General features: G+C 54.7%; 1 protein-coding gene and 1 pseudogene across 7 annotated transcripts, besides 2 other annotated features; one reads left to right on the top strand and one right to left on the bottom strand.

Annotated features, from left to right (window-relative positions):
• Positions 17-856: an enhancer, noted in NCBI's record as "NANOG-H3K27ac-H3K4me1 hESC enhancer chr1:1655889-1656728 (GRCh37/hg19 assembly coordinates)". NCBI's record gives its function as "activates a minimal SCP1, AML or CMV promoter by ChIP-STARR-seq in primed H9 embryonic stem cells {active_cell/tissue: H9 hESC(primed)}" and the evidence as "EXISTENCE:reporter gene assay evidence [ECO:0000049][PMID:30033119]".
• Positions 837-1066: an enhancer, noted in NCBI's record as "active region_32". NCBI's record gives its function as "activates an Ori minimal core promoter by ATAC-STARR-seq in GM12878 lymphoblastoid cells {active_cell/tissue: GM12878}" and the evidence as "EXISTENCE:reporter gene assay evidence [ECO:0000049][PMID:35858748]".
• On the top strand, positions 949-22927 carry CDK11A (cyclin dependent kinase 11A). Of its 6 annotated transcripts, none has more exons than NR_132739.2 (20): positions 949-1048; positions 2475-2598; positions 3595-3710; positions 5851-5978; positions 8828-8960; positions 12906-13042; positions 15666-15788; positions 16173-16268; positions 16354-16512; positions 17061-17126; positions 17722-17781; positions 19574-19664; positions 20281-20402; positions 20651-20756; positions 20962-21083; positions 21160-21267; positions 21366-21482; positions 21682-21830; positions 22037-22226; positions 22307-22927. NR_132739.2 is itself a non-coding variant. In NM_033529.4 (20 exons), exons 2-20 carry the CDS (start codon positions 2488-2490, stop codon positions 22397-22399), a joined length of 2313 nt encoding a protein of 770 aa, NP_277071.2. In that variant the 5' UTR covers positions 949-1048; positions 2475-2487; the 3' UTR covers positions 22400-22927. The 6 variants fall into 6 exon arrangements, 4 of the variants coding, with proteins under 4 accessions (NP_277071.2, NP_001300825.1, NP_001300911.1 ...); NR_132740.2 differs by having other exon boundaries at positions 15666-15827; NM_033529.4 differs by having other exon boundaries at positions 5851-5948; positions 17722-17897.
• On the bottom strand, positions 23498-25367 carry MMP23A (matrix metallopeptidase 23A (pseudogene); annotated as a pseudogene). The gene is made up of 6 exons (NR_002946.1): positions 25234-25367; positions 24792-24959; positions 24235-24399; positions 24048-24158; positions 23819-23945; positions 23498-23698 (listed from the first exon to the last, which is right to left on the bottom strand). The product of NR_002946.1 is annotated as a matrix metallopeptidase 23A (pseudogene) (transcript).

Here is a 28000-nt window from a genome sequence, read left to right as displayed (position 1 = left end):
AATTGCTCGTTTTATCCTCTTCTCCTGCAATGCTCTGAATCCATGGGTTTGGAGTGGGGCCCTGGGAGTTGGGGGAAGCACCATACCCAGTGAGTCTGCACTTTGAGGACCCACTGCCAGTGTCAGCTTCAAAATCACATTGTAAAAGGCCCGGCGCGGTGGCTCACGCCTGTAATCCCAGCACTTTAGGAGGACGAAGCAGGCGGATCACTTGAGGTCAGGAGTTCGAGACCAGCCTGGCCAATATGGCGAAACCTCGTCTCTACCAAAAATATAAAAATTAGCCGGGCGTGGTGGCGCGGGCCTGTGGTTCCAGCTACTCGGGAGGCTGAGGCAGGAAAATTCCTTGAACCCGGGAGGAGGCTGCAGTGAGCCAAGACCACGCCACTGCACTCCAACCTGGGCGGCAGAGCAAGGCTCCGACTCAAAAGTAAATACATGAATAAATAAAATAAAATCACATCGTAAGAGCTCTCCCTGCTTTGTTTCTGAGTAAGGTTCAGAGTTAAATTCCGAGATCGGCCTTTACAAGACACACAGACCTGAGGCGCCTCACGAGGTAACCAGCAGGTAAATGGAGCGCGCTCCACCCACCCGCCACTAGGGGTCCCAGCGGTCAAGGGGGTGGAATGCGGGCGTCCATCGCGAAGGCATTCTGCTCGCAAGCCTTGGCACAGGCGCGGGCTTCGCTACCGGAAAAGTCCCGGTAGGATTCCGGAAGCCGGCCACGCGTTCCGCGCAGGCGCAAACTGCTCCAAAAGTCGGCGTCGCTCTGCTCGGCGCCCCGGCCCGCGCCGAAGTCGGAAGTGCAGCTCACGGCGCAGTTTCTTTTGGAGTCCTGGACCTGAGCAAGCGCTGTTTTATGCGTCATCATCCCGCGCAGACACAGGAAGTGCCGCACAGAGCGAGCCCCTGTCGTCTTGAGTTCTGGGCCAGAGGTCGGCTATTATATCATCATTAGGCGTCAACACAGGAAGTGAGGATACTTCTGGCGAGCGCCGGTTGCTGTTTCTTCTCAGGCTCAGGGACCGGCCGCGGCCCCGTAGGGGTGAGTTCCGACTGGGCGGACCAGGTGTGGGAGCGCGACGAGAACTGCGCACCGAGGTCTTTCTTCCGAGCAGGCCTCGGAGCGGGGCGGACCCGGGCCCGGGGGCGAGCGACACCCTCGCTTCCGCGGACAGTCTCATCCCGCACGGAACTTTGGGTGGTGGAGGCGGCGGGTCCAAACGCTGTCTGGAGCCAACGTCTGCCAGGCTGAACCTCAAGTGTGCGGGACTGAACCCGAGGAAATAGCCCAGTGCCCGGGTCAGGTGGCCTTGTTCGCGAGCACATCTCGGAGCATCTCCCCGGTCTCAAGGTGCAGCTGTCCAGTGTGCTAGTGGCTTCACGTAGTCCAAGCGGTCTTTCTAGCAGATTCTGACAGTAAAAGCAGTGTTTGATGAGTGGCAGGTCCTGAGTTAAGAGCCTTTAAACGGATGATCTTTAATCCGCGATCGATACTATCACGTAGGTGTTGTTATTCTGGTTGTACGGAAGACTGAACTGAGGTGAATTACGTTACCCAAGACCATACAAGAATGACAGAAACGAGACTTGATTTCAAGCGGTCATTTTTCAGAACCCATCACTCTTTTTTGTCGCCCATGCTGCAGCGCAGTGGCTGTTCACAAGCGCACTTCAGCCTGGAACTCCTGGGCTCAATCGGTCTCCCATCTCAGCTTGCAGAGTATATGGGACTACAGGCGCTCGCCACCTTGCCTGGCTTACAACTTATCATTCTTGTTTTTTTTTTTTTTTTTTTTTTTTTTTTTTTTTTTGAGACGGGGTCTTGCTGGAGTGCAGTGACGCGACCTCGGCTCACCGGAACCTCCGCCTTTCGGATTCAAGCGATTCTGCTGCCTCGGCCTCCCGAGTAGCTGGGATTACAGGCACCCGCCACCACGCCCAGCTAAGTTTTGTATTTTTAGTGGAGACAGGGTTTTCGCCGTGTTGGCCAGGCTGGTCTTGACCTCCCGACCTTGTGATCCACCCGCCTCAGCCTAGAGCTTACCTTTTTTTTTTTTTTTTTTTAACCAAGTCTTACTTTGTTATCTAGGCTGGAGTGCAGTGGCGCAGTCTTGGCTCATTGCAGCCTTGACCTCTCTGATTCAAGTGATCCTCCTGCCTCTAGCAGCCTCCTTCCTGTAGCTAGGAATACAGGCACGCGCCACCACACTGGGCTAACTTTTGTATTTTTTGTAGAGACGAGGTTTTGCCATGTTGCCCGGGCTGGTGTTGAACTCCGGAACTCCAGCGATCTGCTCGCCTCGGCCTCCCAAAGTGCTAGGGTTACCGTCTTGAGCCACTGCGCCGGGCACAACTTCTTATTCTTAATGAGGATTTATTCTGAATCCCTCAAAAGTGACTAGGTTCAAGTGTTCAGCACCATAGCTTGCTGTGTCCTGATGTAGGCTGAATTATTTTTCTTTTTGCAGTGTTTTAACTCAAATGGGTGATGAAAAGGACTCTTGGAAAGTGAAAACTTTAGATGAAATTCTTCAGGAAAAGAAACGAAGGAAGGAACAAGAGGAGAAAGCAGAGATAAAACGCTTAAAAAATGTAAGCCATATTTTTTTAAGTAAGTGGTTTTCTTAAAGGAGATTTAATTTCTTTGCCCTCATTTTTCCATTAGAACAACGCTTCTTCGGTGAAGTTCTTTTGTACTTCCAAATGTCGCAGGTGAGCCCAAAATGTATTCTAATATTCAGTTGACATTAAAGGCAGATTTAACACACTAAAGCTGTGTCTAGATTGAGCATACATGGAGAATAAAATACGTTGAATGTTAAGTCATTAGCAAAACTGGACTAATTTTTCTCGGTTCATTATTAGTATATTCATAATACTATCTCTAAGTATTTTTAATATAGTGGGAACTTGCCTTGAAATTAATATAAATATTTTACGTCTTTCTTGGTTTGCATGGTAATGTACTCAGGAAACCTTTTTAGTAATTTGGTAAGAGGCATTGGCAAAGTACCTCTTTTGCTAAGATTTGTAGCATCATTTGGGATGTTAGTGAGTACAGGCATACCTTGCACTTCACTTTATTATGCTTCACAGATATTGAAATTTTTCCAAATTAAAGGTTTGTAGCAACTCTGCTTTGAGTATTTTTCCAATAGCATGTGCTCACTTTGTTAGCTTTTTTTTTGTTTTTGAGACGGAATCTCGCACTGTCGCCCAGGGCCAGGTTCACACCATTCTCCTACCTCAGCTTCCTGAGTAGCTGGGACTACAGGGGCTCACCAACATGCCAAGCTAATTTTTTGTATTTTTAGTAGAGATGGGGTCTCTCCGTGTTAGCCAGGATGGTCTTAATGTCCTGACCTCGTGATCCACCCGCCTCGGCCTCCCAAAGTGCTGGGATTAACAAGCGTGAGCCACTGCACCTGGCCAAAAATTCTTTATATTTTATAACACTGGCTCATTCAGAGTACATGTGAAAGTTTGTTTTGGGATGTTGCCCAGGTTTGATTATCATTAAAAATACTTTTATCTATGAAGAAAAAAAAACTTATAAAGAAAATGATTAACTTTCTCTTTGCTTCTTAGTCTGATGACCGGGATTCCAAGCGGGATTCCCTTGAGGAGGGGGAGCTGAGAGATCACTGCATGGAGATCACAATAAGGAACTCCCCGTATAGAAGAGAAGACTCAATGGAAGACAGGTGAGCGGATGTACAGATGTGCAAGACCCAACTGTACACAGCCCTGGCCTGGCCAGTCCTTCCTAGGGTCACTGTGACAACTGTGTGCTATTGTAACTATTAAGGTTTACTCTTTCCTAGAGTTACCGTGACAGGGCGTGTTGTAGCTGTTGTACTACTGAGATTACTCTTTCCTAAGGTTACCGTGACAGGGTGTGCTGTTGTAACTATTGAGGTTTACTCTTTCCTAGGGCTACTGTGACGGGGTGTGCTGTTTTAACTATTGAGGTTTACTCTTCCCTAGGGTTACGTGACGGGGTGTGCTATTGTAACTATTAAGGTTTACTCTTTCCTAGGGTTACTGTGACAGTGTGCTCAGTGTGCTGTTGTAAATACTGAAGTGTACTCTTTTTTTTTTTGAGACGGTGTCTCAAGAGTCTTGCTCACCCAGGCTGGAGTGCAGTGGCGCCATCTCGGCTCACTGCAAGCTCCGCCTCCCTGGTTCACACCATTCTCCTGCCTCAGCCTCCTGGCTAACACGGTGAAACCCCGTCTCTACTAAAAATACAAAAAATTAGCCAGGATGGTCTCGATCTTCTGACCTGGTGATCCGTCCACCTCGGCCTCCCAAAATGCTGGGATTACAGGTGCGAGCCACGACCTAGGATTACTGTGACAGGGCATGCTGTTACAACTATTGAGGTTTACTCTTTCCTAGGGTTACTGGTGAAAGCCTGTCTCTACTACAAATACAAAAATTAGCCTGGCATGGTGGTGTACACCTGTAGTCCCAGCTACTCAGGAGGCTGAGGCAGGAGAATTGCTTGAATGTGGGAGGCAAAGGTTGCAGTGAGCCAAGATTGTGCCTCTGTATTCTACCCTGGGGGACATAGCAAGATTCTGTCTGAAAAAAATAATAAGTCCGGGTGCGATGGCTCATGCCTGTAATCCCAGCACTTTGGGAGGCTGAGGCGGGTGGATCATGAGGTCATGAGTTTCAGATCAGCCTGACCAATATGGTGAAACCCCGTCTCTACTAAAAATATAAAAATTAGCTGGGTGTGGTAGCGCACGCCTGTACTCCCAGCTACTCCGGAGGCTGAGGCAGGAGAATTGCTCGAACCTGGGACAGGAGGCAGAGGTTGCAGTGAGCCAAGATTGCGCCGCTGGACTCCAGCCTGGGCAACAGAGCGAGACTCCATCTCAAAAAAATAAATACAGGCCGGGCGTGGCGGCTCACACCTGTAATCCCAGCACTTTGGGAGGCTGAGGCGGGCAGATCACAAGGTCAGGAGATCGAGACCACCCTGGCTAACACAGTGAAACTCCGTCTCTACTAAAAAATACAAAAAAAATTAGCCGGGCGTGGTGGTGGGCGCCTGTAGTCCCAGTTACTTGGAAGGCTGAGGCAGGAGAATGGCATGAACCCAGGAGGTAGAGCTTGTAGTGAGCCGAGAGTCTCGCCACTGCCCTCCAGCCTGGGCGACAGAGCAAGACTCCAATCTCAAATAAAATAAATAAATAAATAAAATTAAATTAAATAAATAAGATGTGATGTATTTTTACATGCCCCTGAAACTGTCACCACAGTCAAGCTAATGAACCTGCCCCTCACCCCCTGCAGGTCCTCTGAGAGGCATTTCGTTCCATCTGCACAAAACATTGATTTCTTACATTTTTCATCTGAATCTTAAGACTCCTAGGCCGGGCGCGGTGGCTCACGCCTGTAATCCCAGCACTTTGGGAAGCCGAGGCAGGCAGATCACCAGGTTAGGAGATTGAGACCATCTTGGCTAACACAGTGAAACCCCGTCTCTACTAAAAATACAAAAATTAGCTGGGTGTGGTGGCGGGTGCCTGTAGTCCCAGCTACTCCGGAGGCTGAGGCAGGAGAATGGTGTGAACCCGGAAAGGTGGAGGTTGCAGTGATCCGAGATCGCGTGTCTACACTCCAGCCTGGGTGACAGAGCGAGACTCCGTCTAAAAAAAAAAAAAAAAAAAGATGCCTGAAGTTGGAGAATTAATGTAATTTTTTAAATGATGTTTCAGCTTCGTTCCTATCTGAATCATGCATTTTTCTGGGTTGAAAAAACCTCATAATAGCCTGATGCTTTTCCGCACTTTCTCAAGCATGACGCAGTGCTGTTGTGTTTTATTTCAGAGGAGAAGAAGATGATTCTTTGGCCATCAAACCACCCCAGCAAATGTCTCGGAAAGAAAAAGTTCATCACAGAAAAGATGAAAAGAGAAAAGAAAAATGTAGGCATCATAGCCATTCAGCAGAAGGGGGTACAGAAGCATTTACTTTCTTTGACATCATGTTCAAGTGTGGTTTCTTTCCTGTTCCTACTCTTCTGCCTTCCCCAGAGCACCACTGAAAAACCAGAGAAAGCAAACTGTAGCTGAAAGCATAATGGTGTCACAGACCGTTCAGAAGGGCTATAGAGAGAATAGCTGAAAGCATGCATGTGTCACAGACCATTCAGAGGGGCTATAGAGAGCAAACTCTAGCTGAAAGCATGTGTGCGTCACAGACCGAAAACCAGAGAGAGCAAACTAGCTGAAAGCATGCGTGTGTCACAGGCCATTCAGAAGGGCTATAGAGAGAGCAAACTCTAGCTGAAAGCATGCGTGTGTCACAGACCATTCAGAAGGGCTATAGAGAGAATACTCTAGCTGAAGGCCGGGCGTGGTGGCTCAAGCCTGTAATCCCAGCACTTTGGGAGGCTGAGGCGGGTGGATCACAAGGTCAGGAGATCAAGACCATCCTGGCTAACACGGTGAAACCCAGTCTCTACTAAAAATACAAAAAATTAGCCGGGCGTGGTGGCGGGCACCTGTAGTCCCAGCTGCTCTGGAGGCTGAGGCAGGAGAATGGCATGAACCTGGGAGGCGGAGCTTGCAGTGAGCCGCTATCGCACCACTGCACACTCTAGCCTGGGCGACAGAGCAAGACTCCGTCTCAAAAAAAAAAAAAAGAATACTCTAGCTGAAAGCATACGTGCGTCACAGACCGTTCAGAATGGCTATAGAGAGAATACTCTAGCTGAAAGCGTGCGTGTGTCACAGACCGAAAACCAGAGAGAGCAAACTCTAGCTGAAAGCGTGCGTGTATCACAGACCGAAAACCAGAGAGAGCAAACTCTAGCTGAAAGCGTGCGTGTGTCACAGACCATTCAGAAGGGCTATGGAGAGCAAACTCTAGCTAAAAGCCTGCGTGTGTCACAGACCGAAAACCAGAGAGAGCAAACTCCAGCTGAAAGCATGCGTGTGTCACAGACCGTTCAGAGGGGCTATAGAGAGAATACTCTAGCTGAAAGCATGCGTGTGTCACAGACCGAAAACCAGAGAGAGCAAACTCCACCTGAAAGCATGCGTGTGTCACAGACCATTCAGAAGGGCTATAGAGAGAATACCCTAGCTGAAAGCATGCGTGTGTCACAGACCGAAAACCAGAGAGAGCAAACTCTAGCTGAAAGCATGCGTGTGTCACAGACCGAAAACCAGAAAGAGCAAACTCTAGCTGAAAGCGTGCGTGTGTCACAGACCATTCAGAAGGGCTATAGAGAGCAAACTAGCTAAAAGCATGCGTGTGTCACAGACCGAAAACCAGACAGAGCAAACTCCAGCTGAAAGCATGCGTGTGTCACAGACCATTCAGAAGGGCTATAGAGAGAATACTCTAGCTGAAAGCATGCATGTGTCACAGACTGAAAACCAGAGAGAGCAAACTCTAGCTGAAAGCATGCGTGTGTCACAGACCGTTCAGAGGGGCTATAGAGAGGATACTCTAGCTGAAAGCGTGCGTGTGTCACAGACCGAAAACCAGAGAGAGCAAACTCTAGCTGAAAGCATGCGTGTGTCACAGACCGTTCAGAGGGGCTATAGAGAGGATACTCCAGCTGAAAGTGTGCGTGTGTCACAGACCGAAAACCAGAGAGAGCAAACTCTAGCTGAAAGCATGCGTGTGTCACAGACCGAAAACCAGAGAGAGCAAACTCTAGCTGAAAGCGTGCGTGTGTCACAGACCATTCAGAATGGCTAGTCCATTTTTCCTCTGGGGTTTTCTCTCCCCCATTATATTGTTTGGGAGCAGTTTGTTTACATTTAAAATGACCTGAATTCAACAAGTATAGGAGAAAAACACACCCCAAAATGGGTATTTGCTCAAGTCCAAAGAATGGGTTAGGCTTGAGCAGTTTGATCTCGTACCAACATCAGGAGATTCTTACGGGTGTTAGGAAAATTGGACCTGGAGCCCGATTGAAATCTCATTATTATAAATACGCTTGATTAATTAATGTGGCTTCATTGCACAGTGGAGAAGCCCACTGATAGCAAAGCTTTGTTCTGTAGTCTTTGTGAAGAGTGGTTTTTGTATTATAAAACTGATAATTATAGTTTATTCAGTATAGAAAATTTTTAAAAGATGAATATTACAATTCTCTTCTGTGATAGCAGAATTGTTTTTCTTTTTTCTTCTTTCTTCATAATTAGACGCTTACTGCAGATAGTTTTCTATTTTCAAAGTTTTTTATTTAACATAAAATCATGATTATTCGACTGGGTGCAGTGGCCCAGGCCTGTAATCCCAGCACTTTGGGAGGACAAGGATGGAGGATCACTTGAGCCCAGGAGTTCAAGACCAGCTTGGCCAATATAGTGAGACCCTGTCTCTTCAAAAAAAAAAAAAAAAAGATTAGGATTACTTAACATCATTATTTAAATATTTAATGTTCTTGATTTAATTTCATTTTCATGTGATTTTTTTTTTTTTTTTTTTTTTTTTTTTTTTTTTTTTTGAGATGGAGTCTCACTTTTTCGCCCAGGCTGGAGTGCAGTGGCACGATCTCGGCTCACCGCAACCTCCACCTCCCAGGTTCAAGTGATTCTACAGCCTCAGCCTCCCTTAGTACCTGGGATTACAGGTGCCTGCCACCACGCCCAGCTAATTTTTGTATTTTTAGTAGAGACGGGGTTTCACCATGTTGGCCAGGCTGGTTTTGAACTCCTGACCTCAGGTGATCCACCCGCCTCGGCCTCCCAAAGTGCTGGGATTACAGGCGTAAGCCACCGTGCCCGGCCTCGTGAAATTTTTGAAGTGAGGTTTCTTTGCATGACACTTTATTTCTCATTAGGGAAGCATGCTAGAGTGAAAGAAAGAGAGCACGAACGTCGGAAACGACATCGAGAAGAACAGGATAAAGCTCGCCGGGAATGGGAAAGACAGAAGAGAAGGGAAATGGCAAGGGAGCATTCCAGGAGAGAAAGGTGAGTGGGCTGGGTCAGTTGAGGACTTTATGAAAGGGCCGTGGTAGTGTGTCCTGTCACAGCAATGAAGAAGAATTTGGCAATAGAAGTCACATTTGTTGCAGAAGTGGTAGACATGGAAACAGCACAGTGAACGCTGGACGAGGCTGACCAAGAGAACTGTCCTGAGGGAGTGAGTTTTCACTGCATCTGGAAGTAAGAACGGGTGTGATTTGATTGAGGGAAGACAATGAAGGGATCAGAAATCTGCACGTCCCGCCGGGCGCAGTGGCTCACGCTAGAATTCCAGCACTTACGAGGCTGAGGTGGTTGGATCCCTTGAGCCTGGGAGGTCAAGGCTGCAGTAAGCTATGACCATGCTACTGCACTCCAGCCTGGTTGACAGAGTGAGACTGTCTCAAAAAAAGGAGAAGGGAGATCCCAAAAACCTTGAAACAGTCTGGAAATCGGGACACTGGACTCCTAGGACTCCTGGCCATTAGTCTGTATATTCGTTCCCCTTTATGAGCCAGATTCCCAAGAAAGAACATCGGTGTAGCCCCAGATCTGTTCTGTGAACCAGGAAAAAGGCTGTAGGCCAGGTGCGAGCAGGCCCATCTCCGCCTTCAGAGTGAGTCCACAGAAAGCTTGCAAGCTGCTCCAGGAAGAGAGGAGTCTGAAGCGGAAGGGCGTGTGCAGCGATGTTTGCCAGCAGCCAGGGCTGGGTACACAGCATGTAAAGATGATGAGAGGGCGCTGGTTCTTGTTGATGCCGAAGGGTGTGGGAGACACTGAGGCCCAGGGGTCAAGGTCCGAGACCGCTGCTGGGTGAGCAAGGTTTCAGTTGGCCTAGTTCCTGTTAGTGTGTGAAACATTCATGTATGCCACGCCCTGTGCCAGACATTGAGTGTGTCTTGTCCCACGAGAGTAGAGCTTGGGATAGAAGTGGAGGTTGGTAGATGAAATTTGGGCTGTCATATTGATTTCCCAGAAGGTAAAGACAGGAGAGTGAATGAACAAAAATTGTTGGGGGCAGACTTCTGGGTAGGGCCGATTCAGATCAGCCAATCCAGAACTGGGTGTGGTAGCATATGCTACGTGGGAGGCTAAGGCCAGAGGACCGCATGACGCCAGCCTGGGCAACGTAGAGAGACCTTGTCTCTGACAAAAAGGAAACTGATAAGGATAATCTGAGAAGCACTGATGCTTGGAAAACTGCTGAGCTGTGGGTAAAAGCAGTAAGAATCTGACCTTCTGGCCTGAGAGCTGCTCCCTTTACTGCTTCCACTCTGCACTTGGAAGCACGGAGGTTCCACTGGGACAGGGCAGCTGCAGGACCTGCAGTTTCCTTGCTGCCTTGGAAGGGGTTACTCCGTTTAGAGCAGTGGGCAGTGGCCTTGCCCACCAGCATCCTCAGTGGAGGGAGGAAAAGGCCAAGAGGTCTGCTAGAATGAAGTACAGTGTGGTTGGGAGCAGCTGTGATCCCGCCAAAGACGTGCAGCAGAGACTGGAGAGAGCTCGAGCCGCCACCCACTTGTGACCAGCCCTGAGGATGCAGCTGCGTGAAAGGACCTAGCAGAAAATAGAAGCCGCCACAGATGCGAATGACGCCTGAACGTTCAGTGTGCTCCCTGTCCACACACAGCCGTGGGCCAAGGAAGCCTTACTGTGCTCGAGGTATTTGAGCCCAGCCTTTTTCCAGTGCTGGCTAATTGCTAAGCTGTGCAGCCATGGTGGTGACCCCTAGGAAGCCAAGGTTGAAAATTAAAATAGGCATGTGGGAAGGAACGGGGTGGCCATGAGCTATGAGGGAGATGGATTTCACGGACAACCAGACAGGCCTTGGTGGTAACAACGAAAGGGAAAACTTAGAATCCAGAATTGCTACAAATGTATTATCTAAAATACAAAGAAGTATGACAGTGTGACCCGTACTGAGGAAGAACATCATCAGTAGAAACTGTCTTGAGTGTCCAGATGTTGAATTTAGTAAAGGCTTGGAAACAACTTGTGGATGGAGCAGTAGAAATTATCCATTCTGAAGAACAGAGAGAAAAAAACAAGAAAAATGCACAGAGCCTCAGAAACCCGTGGTACAACATCTGCTGTACCAAAGCACGTCGAATGGGGGTTCCAGGAGAGAGGAAAGATATTTGTTACAATAATGGTTAAAAACTTTCCAAATTTTAATTAAAAAATATGCACATTCAAGAGCACAGGAAGTTTGAACTAGAATAAATGCAAAGTCACATCATAGTCAAACTGGCAAAGGCCAAAGAGAAAATGTTGAAAGGGCTCAGAGAAGAATGACCCATCCCATGAAAGGGGAGCTTCAATACCGCCAGCCACTGACTTCTTAGAAACAATGGAGGCCAGAAGGCAGTGGAGTGGCATACTCAAGCTGCTTAGAGAGAAGAACCATCAGCCAGGAATCAAAACTGTTCTACACAAGTGAAAGGGAACGAACGACATTCCCTGAGAAGCAGAGACTGGTGGGATTCATTGTTGGCGAAACCTGCCTTAAAGGAAATACTAAAGGAAGACCTTCAAGTTGAATAGAAATGACACCAGACGGTAACTTGAATCCTCAGGAAGGAAGGACAGGCACTGCAGATAGCAAGTGTAGGTTGACGTCAATATCCTGTAAATATCTCTCCTCACATCTTAGGTTTTACTGGAACTACGATTGTGTAAAATAATTACACTGTTGTCGTGGTATGTGGCATAAATGGACTGCACAAAGAAGACAGGGAATGAAGCTGTGTTACAACAGTTTTATATTGTACTGGACTTGAGCTAGTATCATGAGGCATATGGTGATCCCTAGAGCAACCACTAAGAAAGTTGTTTTCTTAGTGTTCTAAAAAGTACAAATAAATTAAAATGGTATGCTAAACGTATGTAATTTAAAATCAAAAAGGGAAGAATAAAAAAGACACAACAAAGCAAGGAAAGTAAATCCAACTGTACGTGTAATTATATGACATGTGAAAGGTCTCTGTGCCCCAAACAGACAGGGCAGATTATCAGATAGAAAAACAAGATCTAACTGTATGCTGTCTGCTAGAGAACAGGAAAAGACGCAGCGTACAAACATCAGCTGTCATAGGAGAGCTTGAATGGCTGTACTCATACCAGACAAAACAGATGTTAAGAAATATTAGAAACCAGCCTGGCCAACATGGTGAAACCCTGTCTCTAGTAAAAATACAAAAATCACCTGGGTGTGGTGGTGCACACCTGTAATCCCAGCTACTCGGGAGGCTCAGGTATGAGAATCACTTGAACTCGTGAGATGGAGGTTGCAGTGAGCCGAGATTGCGCCACTGCACTCCAGCCTGGGTGACAAACCAAGACCCTGTCTCAAAAAAAAAAAAAAAGCTAGAAACAAGAAGGAGCAAGGACTTCACAGCCAGAAACAGGCCAATACAGCAGGAAGATACAGCAATGATACATGTGAATGCATCTAACCACAGAGCCCAAAATCCATGAAGCAAACACCGATCGAATGGAAAGAAATGGATCATTTATTAATTAGAATTGGAAATGGCAGCTGGGCACGGTGGCTCGGGCCTGTAAACCCAGCACTTTGAAAAGCGGAGGCAGGCGGATCACGAGGTCAGGAGATTGAGACCATCCTGGCTAACATGGTGAAACCCTCGTCTCTACTAAAAATACAAAAATTAGCTGGGAGTACAGGGCGCACGCCTGTAATCCCAGCTACTCGGGAGGCTGAGGCAGGAGAATCGCTCGAACCCGGGAGGCGGAGGTTGCAGTGAGCCGAGATCGCGCCACCGCACTCCAGCCTGGGGGACAGATGAAGACTCCGTCTCAAAGAAAATAAAATAAAAAAATGAAAAAAAAACTTCACGGATTGAATTACGTAGAAAGCCAGCTTACAAATGTGGACAAAAACGCGATAAGCAAGCTTCTGTTTAGGGGGAATGATGGCGTGTGCCTCTTCAGGGACCGCTTGGAGCAGTTAGAAAGGAAGCGGGAGCGGGAGCGCAAGATGCGGGAGCAGCAGAAGGAGCAGCGGGAGCAGAAGGAGCGCGAGCGGCGGGCGGAGGAGCGGCGCAAGGAGCGGGAGGCCCGCAGGGAAGGTAGGCGGCGCGGTGGGCAGCTGTGCTCGGCGGGACGCGTGTCTGCTGCCCCCTGGTGCTGGGCACTTGCTGTCACAGGCGGGCGCTTGGTTCCGGTGCTTGCTTTTCGCCCCTGCCTTTTTTTTTTTTTTTGGAGGCAGAGTTTTGCTCTTGTCCCCCAGGCTGGAGTGCGGTGGCGCGATCTCGGCTCACTGCACCCTCTGCCCCCCGGGTTCAAGTGATCCTCCTGCCTCAGCCTCCGGAGTAGCAGGGATTACAGGCACCCGCCACCATGTTCAGCTATTTTTTTATATTTTTAGTAGAGACAGGGTTTCACCGTGTTAGCCAGAATAGTCTCTTGATCTCTTGGCCTCGTGATCCACCCACCTCGGCCTCCCACAGTGCTGCGATTACAGGCGTGAGCCACCGCGGCCGGCCAGTACGAGCTTTTATAGTCACCCACGTCCTCACCTTAATGGAGATCTTTATTTCTTCACCCAGCTTCCGGTTTCTGTCTCGCGTCCTTTCCTTACACCCCACACAACTCCCTGGAGCTTATTCTTCAAGGCAGGTCTAGGTCTAGTAGTAATGAACTCCCTCTGCTTTTGTTTATCTGAGAATATCCTCATTTCTCCCTCATCTTTGAAGGAAAGTTTGCTGGATACGTGGTTCTTGGTTGACAATTTTGTTGTTGTTGTTTTGAGACAGAGTCTTCTTCTGTTGCCCAGGCTGGAGTGCAGTGGAGCGATCATAGCTCACTGCAACCTCGAACTCCTGGGCACAAGTGATCTTCCCACCTCAGCCTCCCGCGTAGCTGGGACCTACAGGCGTAGCGTGTGCCACCACACCTGGCTCATTTTTCAGTAGAAACAAGGTGTCCCTGTATTGCCCAGGCTGGTCTTGAATTCCTGGGCTCAAGGAACCCTCATGCCTAGCTGACAGTTTTTCCTTTTCACTTGGACTATTTCAGCCCATTGTCTTCTGGCCTCCAAAGTTTCTGATGAGAAATCTGATGATCTTATAGAGGATCCCTTGGATGCTTTAATCTGATGACCTAATTGAGGATCCCTTGGATGCTTTGAAGATTCTCTTTGCCTTAGGCTTTCAACTGTTTAATAATGGGTTTTCCTGTGGGCCTCTTGACTTCATTCTACCTGGAGTTCACTGAGCCTCTCTAATGTTTATATTTACGGTTTTCATCCAATGTGGGGGTTTTGAGGAATTCTTCAGATACCCTCTCTGCTCCTCTCCTCCCTCCTGGGCTCCCACAGATCTGTTGGGGTCCCCGAGGCCGCTCAGCACTGCTCCCTTTTCTTCAGTCTCTTCTGCTTTCTTTTCCTCAGACGATGTGATTTTATTGTCTTCAGGCTCACCGATTATTTCTTCTGCCTGCTCACATCTGCCTGTGAGTTTCTGTTGTGAATATTTACTTTTTAGTGTCTATTGTGAGCATGTACTTATTAGCTCTGGAATTTCTCTCTGGTTTCTTGTTGGATCTTCTGTCTCTGTTGATATTTCCGTCGTGTTCACGCGTCATTTTCTTGACTTTCTCCACATCTTCCTTTCGTTCTCTGAGGAACTGAAGGTTTAAGACAGTTCCCTAAAATCTTTGTCTGGGACATCTACCGTCAGGTGATTTTCAGGAACCGTGTCTGTTGGCTTCTTTTTTTCCCCTCTGAATGGGACATACTGTCCTGTTTCTTTGTTTCTCTTGTGTTTTTCTTAGTCAAAAAAATGGACATTTGATTCTCATGATGTGATTCTTCCTGGTCCCCACTCAAGGGTGTGCACTTGTTGTTTTGGTTGTGCTGGGCTGTGTCTGTGGGGTCGGCCTGTTGTGGAAACTCAGGGTCTTCACGGGTCTTTTCTGAGCCTGAGCCTTTTCCTGGTCACGTGCAGCCACTTTTTAACGTTCCCGTCAATACAGATGTTTTTAATGTTCTTGTCCTGAAGTGTCTGCCTCCTAAAGGGGGAATAGAGAGAAATGAAGGGGGCAACGGGGGACGTGGTGCTCATGCCCTGGAAGTACCTTCAGCTTGGGGGTGGCCGTGGCTGCTGCCTCTTCATGCCTCTGGGGTGGGACACGCAGTCATCACACTGACCTCGGGTGTGTGTGTCCGTCTGCCCACCTGGGTCCGGCGAGCTGCATGCAGGCTGCTGCCTGCCAGCGGGGAGTGAGGTGGGAGCCACTAATGTGCGAAGCGGTGACGTTGATTAATGAATCACAGTTTACTCTCCAAGATTCCCCCTGAAGTTGCAAACCTTCAGTAGACTCCAGAGCACCTCAGTAGTTGCACAGGCCTGATCCTGTGATGCAAGTGTTGTCTCGGTGGGGAGACTGATTCCCAGTGCTTCCTACTCCATCTTTCCAGAATCTTCTCCCGCCCCTTCCTTTTTGACCAGTGAAGATCAGTCTAGAAGGTCCACCTGGGTCCTCGGGCTCACGGCCTCCAGGTTGGAGCTTTTTCTCCCTGGGCTTCCTGGGAGACCTCTGGCCTCTGACCCCGATGCTGTCAGCACCCTGTGCACGCTGTGGGTGTGTCTGCCAGGTGCGGGTGTGGGAGACGAGGCAGCTGTGCCGGGTGGGGCCTTTTGAGGAAGGCAGTGCTGCTAGTGCCATCTCCCTCTCTGCCCTGCGCGCCAGTGTCTGCACATCACCGAACGATGAGAGAGGACTACAGCGACAAAGTGAAAGCCAGCCACTGGAGTCGCAGCCCGCCTCGGCCGCCGCGGGAGCGGTTCGAGTTGGGAGACGGCCGGAAGCCAGGTGAGGCCAGGCCGGCGCCTGCGCAGAAGCCAGCACAGTGTGAGTCTTTTCTGGGGGATGTTTGGCATAAGTGTGTAGGATTCATTTAAAGCCCAGCTAAGTAACCGCTTCAGAAGAAAGTGAGAGATGTGCTGGCTGAAGTCCTCTCGTGTCGTGAGAGGGACCGTGAGTGTCTGTGTGCGGCCAGGACACAGGACGTGTGTTTATCCGCTGGGACATTCGCCACTGGCCCCGTTAGAGAAGTGGCTTCCAGCGTCTGTGGATGAGCTGGTTTCCGACCAAGCAAAGTTAATCGTTACGTGAAAGGCACTAGTTTTGGGGTGGTGGTAGCTTGTTTGTTTAAAAACATTTCCCCAAATTCACCTTTATGGTTTATCTCATAAGTAAAAGAAGAGAAAATGGAAGAAAGGGACCTGCTGTCCGACTTACAGGACATCAGCGACAGCGAGAGGAAGACCAGCTCGGCCGAGTCCTCGTCAGGTACCTGGAACCGCCTGGCCAAGGCCTTGACCACTGCTGCCCAGGAAGGCCCAGGTTCACCCTCTGCTCTGCTGTCTTTCTACAGCGGAATCAGGCTCAGGTTCTGAGGAAGAAGAGGAGGAGGAGGAAGAGGAGGAGGAGGAAGGGAGCACCAGTGAAGAATCAGAGGAGGAGGAGGAGGAAGAGGAAGAGGAGGAGGAGGAGACCGGCAGCAACTCTGAGGAGGCATCAGAGCAGTCTGCCGGTGAGGCACCGCGACGACTGTGTGAGGTGTTGTGACTTCACTATAGTGTTAGAAACCGCAGAGAAGTAGCTGGCGGGCGGGGGAGTTGAAACTCCCTTCTATCTAGGACTCTCTCGGGACACCTCCACATCGATTCTTTTTGTTTGTTTTTTTGAGATGGAATCTTGATCTGTTGCCCAGGCTGGAGTGCAGTGGCATGATCTCGGCTCACTGCAACCTCTGCCTCCCGGGTTCAAGTGATCCTCCCGCCTCAGCCTCCCAAGTAGCTGGGAGTACAGGTGTGCGCCACCACGCCCGGATAATTTTTGTATTTTTAGTCGAGACGGGGTTTCACCACGTTGGCCAGGATGGTCTCGAACTCCTGACCTCAGGTGATCCACCCGCCTCGGCCTCCCAAAGCACTGGGATTACAGGCGTGAGCCACCGCGCCCAGCCTCCATATCCATTCTTGGGAACACTTGTTGCTTAGCTGAAGCGGAGCCCGCATCCTGCCTGTGGCAGCACTCGCCCCGGTGCTGGTCTGAGCAGACGCCTCCTTTCTCTTGCAGAAGAAGTAAGTGAGGAAGAAATGAGTGAAGATGAAGAACGAGAAAATGAAAACCACCTCTTGGTTGGTAAGAACCTCCCTGGAGACAGAGCCCCCTCCTTGTCTGTCTCCGAGTGCAGCAGCCCTCTCCTAAGACAGCCGGTCCTGCGCGGCGTGGGGCACGCCAGGGTCTGGGAGGCCGCCTGATTCGTTGGCCGCTCCAGGCTGTGCCGGTGGGGCCCGCATTCCTCAGCGAGGCACAGTGCTGACCAAGGGCGTCCTGAGTGCCCAGCAGGGCCGAGGAGCTGGGAAGCCCAGGACCAGTTCCCCACAGGGGAGGCCCGTCAGATGGTGGCTCCGGGCCTGTCCCTGCAGAACAGAGGCCTGGCCCAGCCTCCGACAGGCAGTGAGGTTATGTCCTCAGCCTGGTGGACGTGGATGTGGGCTTGTCCCCCACATGACACCCGACGCCTCCTCCCAGCTCAGCATCCGGGCTCTGTCTCAGCCGAGCCTGCCAGCACTCTTAGGCCTCGGTGCCCTGTGTCCAGGGGACGAGAGCCCAGCGCCAGCACCTCCCAGCGGGACACGGGGCAGCCCTGCCACGCGCTTGATGCCCCCGGGGCAGGAGGAGGTTCATGATCCTTACTTACTCCTAGCTTCGTAATTAGGTTCAACTTTTCCAGTTCCAGAGTCACGGTTCGACCGAGATTCCGGGGAGAGTGAAGAAGCAGAGGAAGAAGTGGGTGAGGGAACGCCGCAGAGCAGCGCCCTGACAGAGGGCGACTATGTGCCCGACTCCCCTGCCCTGTTGCCCATCGAGCTCAAGCAGGAGCTGCCCAAGTACCTGCCGGCCCTGCAGGTCAGGCCCTCCCCTCGCCCCGGGCCGCTGTCCGCATTGGCAGTCGGAGTTACCACAGGGGCTGAGCGAAGCCTGGCCCCCGTGTTGGCGTCTGTCGCCTCACAGGGCTGCTGGGCCCACTGGGGCAGTGACGGGCGGGCACAGCCACTGGCCCCTCATGCTTCTAGGTCCCGCCTCTTTCTCATGCTGGACGGAACTGGGTGGACAGGGAGCTGCCCGCAGGACTGCTCTGCGGCTTGAAAGGCAGCCTGGGCGTGCGGCCGCGCTGCTGTCACTGCTGCCCGAGTTGCGTCCTCCTCCGCACTGGAGAGCAGTGCCTTCCACTTGACCCCTGCGTGGGCGGGTTATGTAGGCACCAAGGCCTTGTTACCGGCATCTGTGCAGGGCTTGGATGGGGGAGCGGCTACGGGAGTCAGTGTAGATGTGTGACCAGAAGCCTTTTGCTCAGGCAGCTATCAATAAGGCAGGATATTGTTGGGAGTGATTTGGAAGGGACAAGCCTGAGAAGGTACCAGTGGCCTCGGGGGCCTGGGAGACCGGCAGGGACTCGGCCCCCTCCTTGGTGCCTGTGGGCGGAGAGGTTCTCTCTGGCGCATGCAGCAGGCCTCTGTCGACTGCCCTATGCCTTGTGAGCGCCTCTGCCCCTTAGTGCTGCTGAGCGTAGGCGTCGGGCCACAGGCCACCCAGAGTACGTGACATCCGGCCTGGGCACCGGCCCCAAGGTACACCGAGGGGTAGGTGCCCTGGCATGGGGCATCATGCTGCGCCTGGCAGGTAGGGCCCGTCCTCAGTGTCATCCTGGTACAAGCAGGGGACACATCCACTTTGACAGAGAGACTCTCCGGATGGCCTTTTTTTTGGAGACTGGGTCTGTCTCTGTCATCCAGGCTGGAGTGGAGTGGCTTAATCATAGCTCACTGGAGCCTCCACCTCCCAGGCTCAAACAATCCTCCCATCTCAGCCTCCTGAGTAGCTGGAACTACAGGCGCAAGCCACCATGCCTGGCTAATTTTTTTATTTTGTAGAGAAGAGTTTTGGCCAGGCACAGTGGCTCACGCCTGTAATCCCAGCACTTTGGGAGGCCGAGGCGGTGGGCGGATCAGAGGTCAGGAGTTCGAGACCAGCCTGGCCAATATGGTGAAATCCTGTCTCTACTAAAAATACAAAAATTAGCCTGGCGTGGTGGTGCGTACCTATACTCCCAGCTACTAGGGAGGCTGAGGCAGGAGAATCGCCTGAACCCAGGAGGTGGAGGTTGCAGTGAGCCGAGATCTCACCATTGCACTCCAGCCTGGGTGACAGAGCGAGACTCCATCTCAAAAAGAAAAAAAGAAAACAGAGTGTTGCTATGTTGGCCAGGCTGGTCTTGAACTCCTGGGCTCAAGCAATCCTCCTGCCTTGCCCTCCCAAAGTGCTGGAATTACAGGCCTGAGCCCTTGCACCTGGCTGGGATGGCCTTTTGTTCACACTGGTTTTGTTTCATAATAAAGTGTCAGATGGTTTTGCAAGGAAAGAGACTTTGAAAGAACTGAGCTGCTCCCAGCTCCACCCCCGGCCCAGTCCCAAGGCTCTGCCCTGCACCTGCCCCGTGCTGGGTGTGCCGTGCCTGTGGACGCAGCCGCCCTCCCTCCAGCTGGCATGGCCACTGAGACCTCACACAGGCGCTTCCTTCCCAGGGCTGCCGGAGCGTCGAGGAGTTCCAGTGCCTGAACAGGATCGAGGAGGGCACCTATGGAGTGGTCTACAGAGCAAAAGACAAGAAAACAGGTGGGTGGGGTCCCCTCACCCCACAAAGGCAGGGGAAGTGGGGCAGGGGCTGGCTGCCCGAGAGCTGCGACTGCACCTGGGCCCGCTTCACCTGAGCAGCTACTGGAGGTTGGACCCCTCAGCACCTCTAGAAGCCAGAGGTCAGCCTGGCCCTGGGGCTTTGCCACTCCCTTGCAGTAGCAGGCGGCCTGCCCCACAGGGCCGAGGCCCAGCGCGTGGAGTGGTCTGTGCCGGGGCTGGTGTGCAGGTTTGCGTTCCCAGCGTCCCACCCAAGCAGGTGTGTGAGCCGGGAACTCTGTTGGGAGTCGGCCACTGGGATCCCAGGTGAGGCCGGCTCTGTTGGGGAAGTCGATGTGGAGTCGGCGTGGCCGCTGGGATCCCAGGTGGCTGTAGGTGGCTGTGAGTGTCTGTGGTGTGTTGAGTGGGAAGCCGTGGGTGTTGCCGAGACCTCAGCTGGGGCGTTCTCCTGGTGCCCACGTGCCCCCACCTAGAACGAGACCCCCCTCCGTGAAATGCTGGCGCTTTGGGCACTGCCTGCGGTCCTCACTGAACGAGTCCACTGTTGGTACCGTGACTTTGAGAATGCCTCTCAGTGCCGTCTGTATTTTCTTCACAGATGAAATTGTGGCTCTAAAGCGGCTGAAGATGGAGAAGGAGAAGGAGGGCTTCCCGATCACGTCCCTGAGGGAGATCAACACCATCCTCAAGGCCCAGCATCCCAACATTGTCACCGTTAGAGTGAGCATGGCCCCACCACGCCTGGCCCCGGGTGGAAGGCTTTTCCGACAGGGCCCCGTGCTGTCCTGGGGCCGGGTGCTTCCTACACTCTCCTGCACTTAGTGGAGCCCTTCACAGACCACACAGAAGCAAGTATTTGCCTCCCGGGTGGCACCGGAGGTCCTTACTGTCCCTCAGCATCTGCGCCCGGGTGCAGGGGTGGGTGGGGGCCTGGAGGTGCCCAGCACCCACAGAGCCGTGCCCTGCAGGAGATTGTGGTGGGCAGCAACATGGACAAGATCTACATCGTGATGAACTACGTGGAGCACGACCTCAAGAGCCTGATGGAGACCATGAAACAGCCCTTCCTGCCAGGTACAGCCGCGCCCCGGGGTCCTGTCTGCGTACAAGTGGGGGCAGTGTCCTGGTCACCCCCGCGGTGACAGTGCTGCAGGGAGGGCCAGCTGCATCCACAGGGAAAGCCCTGAGAAGCCTCTGTTGCTGCCGAGGCGAGCGGGCCACCCTGAGTGCCCTGGGCTTGGGGCGGCCGGGTCCACATGGGAGCCTCCCTCCCTCCCAGGGGAGGTGAAGACCCTGATGATCCAGCTGCTGCGGGGGGTGAAACACCTGCACGACAACTGGATCCTGCACCGTGACCTCAAGACGTCCAACCTGCTGCTGAGCCACGCCGGCATCCTCAAGGTGAGCCCCCCTCCGAGTGGCCCATCCCAGGGTGACCCGCCCAGGCCCACCCACAGCCGCCCATCTGTCGTTGCAGGTGGGTGATTTTGGGCTGGCGCGGGAGTACGGATCCCCTCTGAAGGCCTACACCCCGGTCGTGGTGACCCAGTGGTACCGCGCCCCAGAGCTGCTGCTTGGTGCCAAGGTGAGTCCTGGGCGTCTGAGTGCCTCCCCTGTCCCCCATGCAGCCTCCCACAGCTTCGCGGGCACTGGCCTTCCTGAACACCTCTCCTGGCGTCTTAGGAATACTCCACGGCCGTGGACATGTGGTCAGTGGGCTGCATCTTCGGGGAGCTGCTGACTCAGAAGCCTCTGTTCCCCGGGAATTCGGAAATCGATCAGATCAACAAAGTGTTCAAGGTGGGTCTGGCCCTGCCGCAGGTGCGCTATGGATTTCAGAGGAGTTGCAGGAATGGGGCTGCGGGGCGCACAGGTGCTGGGTTGAGATGGGGACCAGGGCCACTGAGAGCCCTCCTGGTGGCTTGTCTTCTCTGACGGGACACAGGTGCCAACACTGTGGGCCACTTGGTGTGGCTGTTGAAGCACCTCTGTCTTTCAGGAGCTGGGGACCCCCAGTGAGAAAATCTGGCCCGGCTACAGTGAGCTCCCAGTAGTCAAAAAGATGACCTTCAGCGAGCACCCCTACAACAACCTCCGCAAGCGCTTCGGGGCTCTGCTCTCAGACCAGGGCTTCGACCTCATGAACAAGTGAGCCCAGTGCAGCCGGGTGGCGGGAGGTCCCGAGCCATAGCGGTGACTTCCCAGTCCCAGGCCTACCTGCTGGCTCACCACGTTCCAGAACTGCTCTGGTGCCTGGCGTCCCATGCCCTGAGCCCCGTCCCAACACAGCCCATCTTTGGGGGACCCAGTGGAGCACACGAGCACCTCCTGGGCCTCTGGCCCTCTCCCCCCAGGTTCCTGACCTACTTCCCCGGGAGGAGGATCAGCGCTGAGGACGGCCTCAAGCATGAGTATTTCCGCGAGACCCCCCTCCCCATCGACCCCTCCATGTTCCCCACGTGGCCCGCCAAGAGCGAGCAGCAGCGTGTGAAGCGGGGCACCAGCCCGAGGCCCCCTGAGGGAGGCCTGGGCTACAGCCAGCTGGTGAGGGGCCTGGCGGGTGGGGCGTGCCCACAGGTGGGGCTGGCTTGGGCAGGGTTCTCACGGTAGCCGACTCGTCCCAGGGTGACGACGACCTGAAGGAGACGGGCTTCCACCTTACCACCACGAACCAGGGGGCCTCTGCCGCGGGCCCCGGCTTCAGCCTCAAGTTCTGAAGGTCAGAGTGGACCCCGTCATGGGGAGAACTCAGCCGGGACCACAGGCGTGGCTACTGCGGCTGGAGCTGCGATGAGACTCGGAACTCCTCGTCTTACTTTGTGCTCCATGTTTTGTTTTTGTATTTTGGTTTGTAAATTTGTAGAATTAAATCATTTTCCTTGTTGTGGAGGAAAGAGCTGTGTTTTCTCCGTGACTTGCCAGGGCATCTTCGGGTGCCCACGTGGGGCAGCACAAACCTCCACACACCCTCTCCCACTCTCGACACGCACGGGGCTGGCTGGGCCGTGATTTGGAAAGGAACTGGTGGGAGCCGGGTGGATTGTTTAATCTTCGGAGCTGGAGACCTGTTTCTGTGTTGGGATGAGCGATGCCCTCTTGCCCCAACCCACTCGTCCAGACCAGCCCTGTCCACACAGGCCCCCGGCCCCCAACCCCCAGCCCCAGCTGTGCCAGCAGACTCGACAGGTTTTTATACAAGGTTGTTGAGTTTTAAAATGTATTAAAATATTCTTCGAGGAAAGCTCCCCGTGTCGTCCTTTGAGTGACCCGGGACCATGTGTGGGAGGGGAGTCGCAGACCACCGGGCTCTAGGGGAAGAGGGTGGGGTGGGCGGCTGTGGCCTCTGACCCCATGTGGGCCAGTGTCTTCCCCAGGCAGGAGGGGAGCTCCTACCTCCTGGGGGGCCTCCACTCTGGCAAGGTGGTCCCCCACCCTGTGCCAGTCCTCCCAGCCCCCACCCACATCTCCTTGCAGAAGATCCTGGAGGCCCATCCCAGCCACATCTTTCAGGAAGCCCCCTTTGCCTCCCTCCCCCAGCTCTGAGCAAGTCCTAGACAGAACCCAGGCTTCTGGGGCTACCCCAGGTGCTGCTCCACGTGCTGCCCCTGTCACTGGGGCCTCCTCTTATCCCACTTTCCCAGGGGCCACCTTAGCAAAGCCCGTCCCGTCCTGTGCTGTACCTGTGGTCCGCTGTGCGGGGAAGCAGGGGTGCCCAGCCCCGAGGACGCCCAGCTCTCGGTGGACCAGGGGCTGGGGTGTCCACCTGCCCAGACTGGCTGCCCGCTGCCCTCCCAAGAATGAGCGAGGAGCCATCAGAGAGAAAGTGCTTTATCAGCCGGGCTCAGCCCCGCACACGGACTCGCCAGGAGTAGGTGGTCAGCACGCGCTGCTGGCGGCGCACCACGCAGGTGTAGGTGCCCTCATTGACGGCGTTGGCGATGATGCTCAGGTGCGCCTCGCCCAGGGCCAGGTAGCCGGGGTAGGAGAACTCCAGGGGCTCCTGGTCCTTGTACCAGCTGCAGGGGGGCGGGGCGTCTCCTGCAGGCACAGCCCCCCCCCGCTGCCTGCCCCGCACCCCTGCCCCAAGGCCGCCCGCGGGCTGCCCACCCCGAGGACCGCCCGGGGCGCTCACTCACTACACTTTCCCTTTCTTGTGGAGGATCTTCTGGCCGCAGCGGAAGGTCACGTTCCTGCCCTCGGGCACCAGCCTGGTTTTGGTCCTGGGGGGCGGTGGGGTGGTGGCCACCGTGGGGAAGGGGAATTCTGCTCCGGGTGGGGGAAAGAGCCCCGTCAGTGCCCCCTCAGCCCCGACCATGGCCAAGGCCCAGCTCCCACGCAGCCCTGTCCCGGCCCCGTGGGCATCACCGTAGCAGAAGTCGCAGCTGCTGGGGCAGAGCCTCTTCATGAGCCGCCGGCGAGCGTCGCAGAAGCCCCTCCGCGCCCAGGACGCGCACACGAACAGCCTGTCGAGGCATCCTGTCGGGAGCGTGGGGAGCACGGCCTGGCTCAGGACCGCCCGGTCCCCGCCCTCCCGCCCGACAAAGGGACTCACCGTAGAGCCGGTGCAGCCCCCACAGCTCGTCCTGGGACAACGCCTTCCAGCCGCGCAGCGTGGCGTTCAGGTGCATGAGCGCCCGGCCGTGTTGTGAGTGCATCAGGCCCAGCGCGTGGCCGATCTCGTGGGCCGCCACGTGCACCAGGTCCGTGAGCCACACGCCTGCGGGCCCCGGGGGTCAGCGCCTGGGAGCCCCGGGCCCAGCCCCGCCGCCCGTGGGCCAGCTCCCCGAGGCCCGGTGTATCTGCTGGAGCGCAGCCGCGGAGCCGCCCTCGGCCGCAGCCACGGAAAGATAAGAATGTTCTGGGCCCAGGCGGTGAGCTCGGCCCCCAGGAATGCAGCTCCAGCTCCCGCTCCAGAGGCGCAGGGGGATGGGAAAGGGAGTTCAGGGCTGCCGGGATGGGGGCTCCCACGGGCTCCCCTCCTTGCCTGCTAGACTCCAGTGGCAGCCACCACCCCGGAAGGTCCCTCCTGCCGTCTGCCCCAAAGCCCGACCGCGGCAGCCCACTGTGCTGCAGAGGAGAGGCCTCCAGGAGGCCAGCCTGGACGGTCACCTTTCTTCCAGCTGTAGCGCGTGGGGCCCAGGACCCAGTACTCGCTGTCGTCGAAGTGGATGCCGCCGTGCGGGGGGAAGAAGGCGTGGGCCAGCTCCCCCGTGGGGCCGTCGAAGCAGTGGTGCAGCGCGGAGACCAGGCAGTCCGTGTGGTTGATCGGGTAGAAGCCTGGGGGGAGCACGGGGCTGAGAGGCCGGGCGCGCAGGGCCGGGCCGGGGCGGGGGCGGGCGCCCACCTATCCGGAGGTCGCTGGGCTGCTCGGGGGCCACCTCGCGGAAGCTGAAGGGGGACACGTCGCTCCACATGCGGAAGGCGGCAGCTAGGGCCCGCCGCGTCTCCCGCGGGCTCAGCAGGTTCCGCGGGAAGGAGAGGATCCTGCAGGGAGAGTGAGCTCAGCGGGCGCCGGCCGCGCCCCCTCCCCCGGGGCCCAGCCAGGGCGCACCTGTAGGTGAGGTTGAAGTGGTCCCAGCGCAGCCTGGCTGGAGTCAGCGTGTAGCGGCGTCTGCGGGGGGCCAGTGGGCCCGGGACCCGGGTGGGGGGGACCGCCGAGAGGCCCAGCGCAGCGACGTCTCCCTTCAGGGAAGAAAGCGTGCGTGGGAGGCATCGGTGACGGTCCCCAGGACCAAAAACTGCCGCGGAAAATGGACTGGAAGGAAACGGGGGTGGGGGTGCCCAGGGCTGGGAGCGGGCGTGGCGGGTCCTGTCTGCCTGTGGTTTCGGGTCTCCTAACCTGAGCGCCCTGTTGCACGTCCCTGGGAACGCGGCCCAGTGGAGGGGAAGGGGCTGAACAGCAGGGCGAGGCCTCCCACCCCTCCCAACAACTGGACACAGGGGCGTCCAACCCTCCGACCTCGGGACGCACATCCGGACCCTCAAACACCCCGCACACCCCGCACACCCTGCACACCCCGCACACGTCCTGTGGGCCCCTTTTCTGAAGTGCTGATGTACATACTTTCTCGTACACACTTTTGTGAAGATTTCAAGGGGAAGGGAGTCGTCTGCCATTCAATGTTTACATTTATGTTCTGCAAGACGCTGTCCTCAGGGACCATTAGGGGACCATTCTGTTCAGTGCGATCCTGATGGTCCGGGAGATGAGGGTTTCCGGGGCTAGTGATCGTGATCCCTTTTATTTGCAACTGTAATGAGAATTTTTCACACTAACACAGCGAGGGACTCAACACGCTGATTCTCCTCCTGCCTCTCCCGTGAGTCTCCAGCCTGCCCAGCACCAGCAGCTGTGGAGCACGTGGATGCTGCCTACCCCGGCGCCCGCGTCTTCCACGGGCACAGGTGTGTGGAGGCCGTGGTCGGACCCTGGTGTCCTGGTTACTGCTGCCCGGGTGTCTTTTTTTTGAGTAACTGCTCTCTGAGTTTTGCACACAAAGTTGCCCTCATCTGCTGGAGATCGATAAGGAAGGCACAAGACGTTCTCCTCTGCCCGTGAGGAGCTTCCCGCAGCCGCCTGGCCCAGCCTGGGCACGTTCTCCGAGGCATGTGTCTCCCTGCTCACCCTCGTCTGGGCACCTCAGCATCTGTGGACTTGAGCGTCCAAAAACCCTGAGTGTGATTCTGGGCAGCCGGCCTGGCTTGAAGTCCGCCATGACCCTGGGCACAGGGGAAGCCCAGCCGTGGGCTTAGGAGAGAGGGACCAGCGCCCAGCGTTAGGGCTGGAAGACGGCAGTGTTCAGAATTCCAGCCGCTCATCTGAACACAGAAGGTGTGAACTGACCTCTAAAGCAGCGTGAGATGGGAATGATCTAGAAAACTTTGGATTTTTGAAGTAAATTTTAATGTTTCATATTAATTTCTTGAAAATGTATTAAATGTCATTGAAAGCCTTATTACGCTTTTCAGATCCTTTCAATAAACAAGACTTGTAGAAAATAAGCTGGGTTAATAACAGCTTTCTTCTGACGCCGTGGAACCAACATAGAGGGGTCGGGCAGGGTCACCCCCATTAAATCCTAGCCCCAAAATGCCCATCCACCGAGTGTGGGGCCGGCAGGGCATCCTCCCCAAGGGGCTGGGGGTGCCGCTGCCTCTTCCGGGCAAGGGGGCAGTGCCCTGGCGGGGGTAGGGGTAGACAGAAGGGACTCAAACCCGAGGGGTGGTGTCGACTCGGGCAGGCTGTGTTGCTCCCGGAAGAGCCACTGAGACCAGGGGGAGTTGAGTCCCTGCATTCCCGGGGCCAGCAGGGCTGGAAGAGCCCCTCCATCCGGGCTGCCTAACAGGGGCAGCCACAAGCCAGGTGAGGACCCGCTGGCCCCTGGGCCCAGCCTGGGCACCGATATCGGCCTCCCTCCCTCCACTGACGTGGTCCTGCGCCCCGCAACCCCCCCACCCCGCACCGTCCCTGTTGTCCTAACAAGGCCCAGATGAATGTGGCTCAGGGCTTTGCCGGCAGCCAGTCTGCACTACACGCGTGCAAGTCCAGGAGAGACCAAAACGACCACCCTGTGGACACCTGCCCCTCCAGCACCCTGCCCCGTTTTGGGGACGTGAAACCCTGGGCTGTGGGCCCCGCCCTACCGACCTGGAGCGCCTCTGCCTCCCCGGCCTGGAAGAGGCTGTGGGTCAAGCCTAACCTTCTTGGCTTTGGGGAGCACAGAGGCCCCAAGACATCCTCGGGGGCTGCCGGGCTCAGGCTCTGGGGCATGGAAACCTTTTCGAGCCTGAAACGGCGGCATCCACGGTCCCTGCCGGGCCAGTGCCAGCCTGCACCCTGGGCACCTCTGTGCTGGGCCCGGCACCCCCACCCTGCCTCCCACAGCCAGGGTGTCTCCTCAGGTCAGGTCCAAAGGGGCTGCAGCCAGGCCCAAAGACCCAGCCCAAGTCCCACGGCTCCTGCGGGGTCTGGGTGAGGCCTGTCCTGCTGGGAGCCCAGGAGGCTGCGACCCTGCCTGGAGCTGGAAGTCTGGTTGGGGGGTAGTAGGGTCGGGGGAAAGCAGGGTGGGGCAGGTACAGGGTAGAGAAGCCAGCTGGAGGAGCCCAGGGAAGGCTGGCGGTGCTGGGGATGTAGGGGACAGCAGGAGCTGGTACATCACCACATGTTTCAGCTGCTTCCAGCACATCCTGCCCCAGAAGGATCTCAGCCAGGGCATGGGCTGCCTTCAGGGTCTGGCAACACCAAGGAGCCAAGGCAGGTGGTAAACCGAGGCCACAACCTCCTTAGGAGCCTCCACAACCAGGGCGCACAGCTGAAA

This window comes from Homo sapiens, chromosome 1, assembly GCF_000001405.40.
Source record: "Homo sapiens chromosome 1, GRCh38.p14 Primary Assembly".
Taxonomy (NCBI): domain Eukaryota; kingdom Metazoa; phylum Chordata; class Mammalia; order Primates; family Hominidae; genus Homo; species Homo sapiens.
The sequence above is the reverse complement of the archived record's forward strand: the minus strand, read 5'-3'. Positions and strand labels throughout refer to the sequence as shown.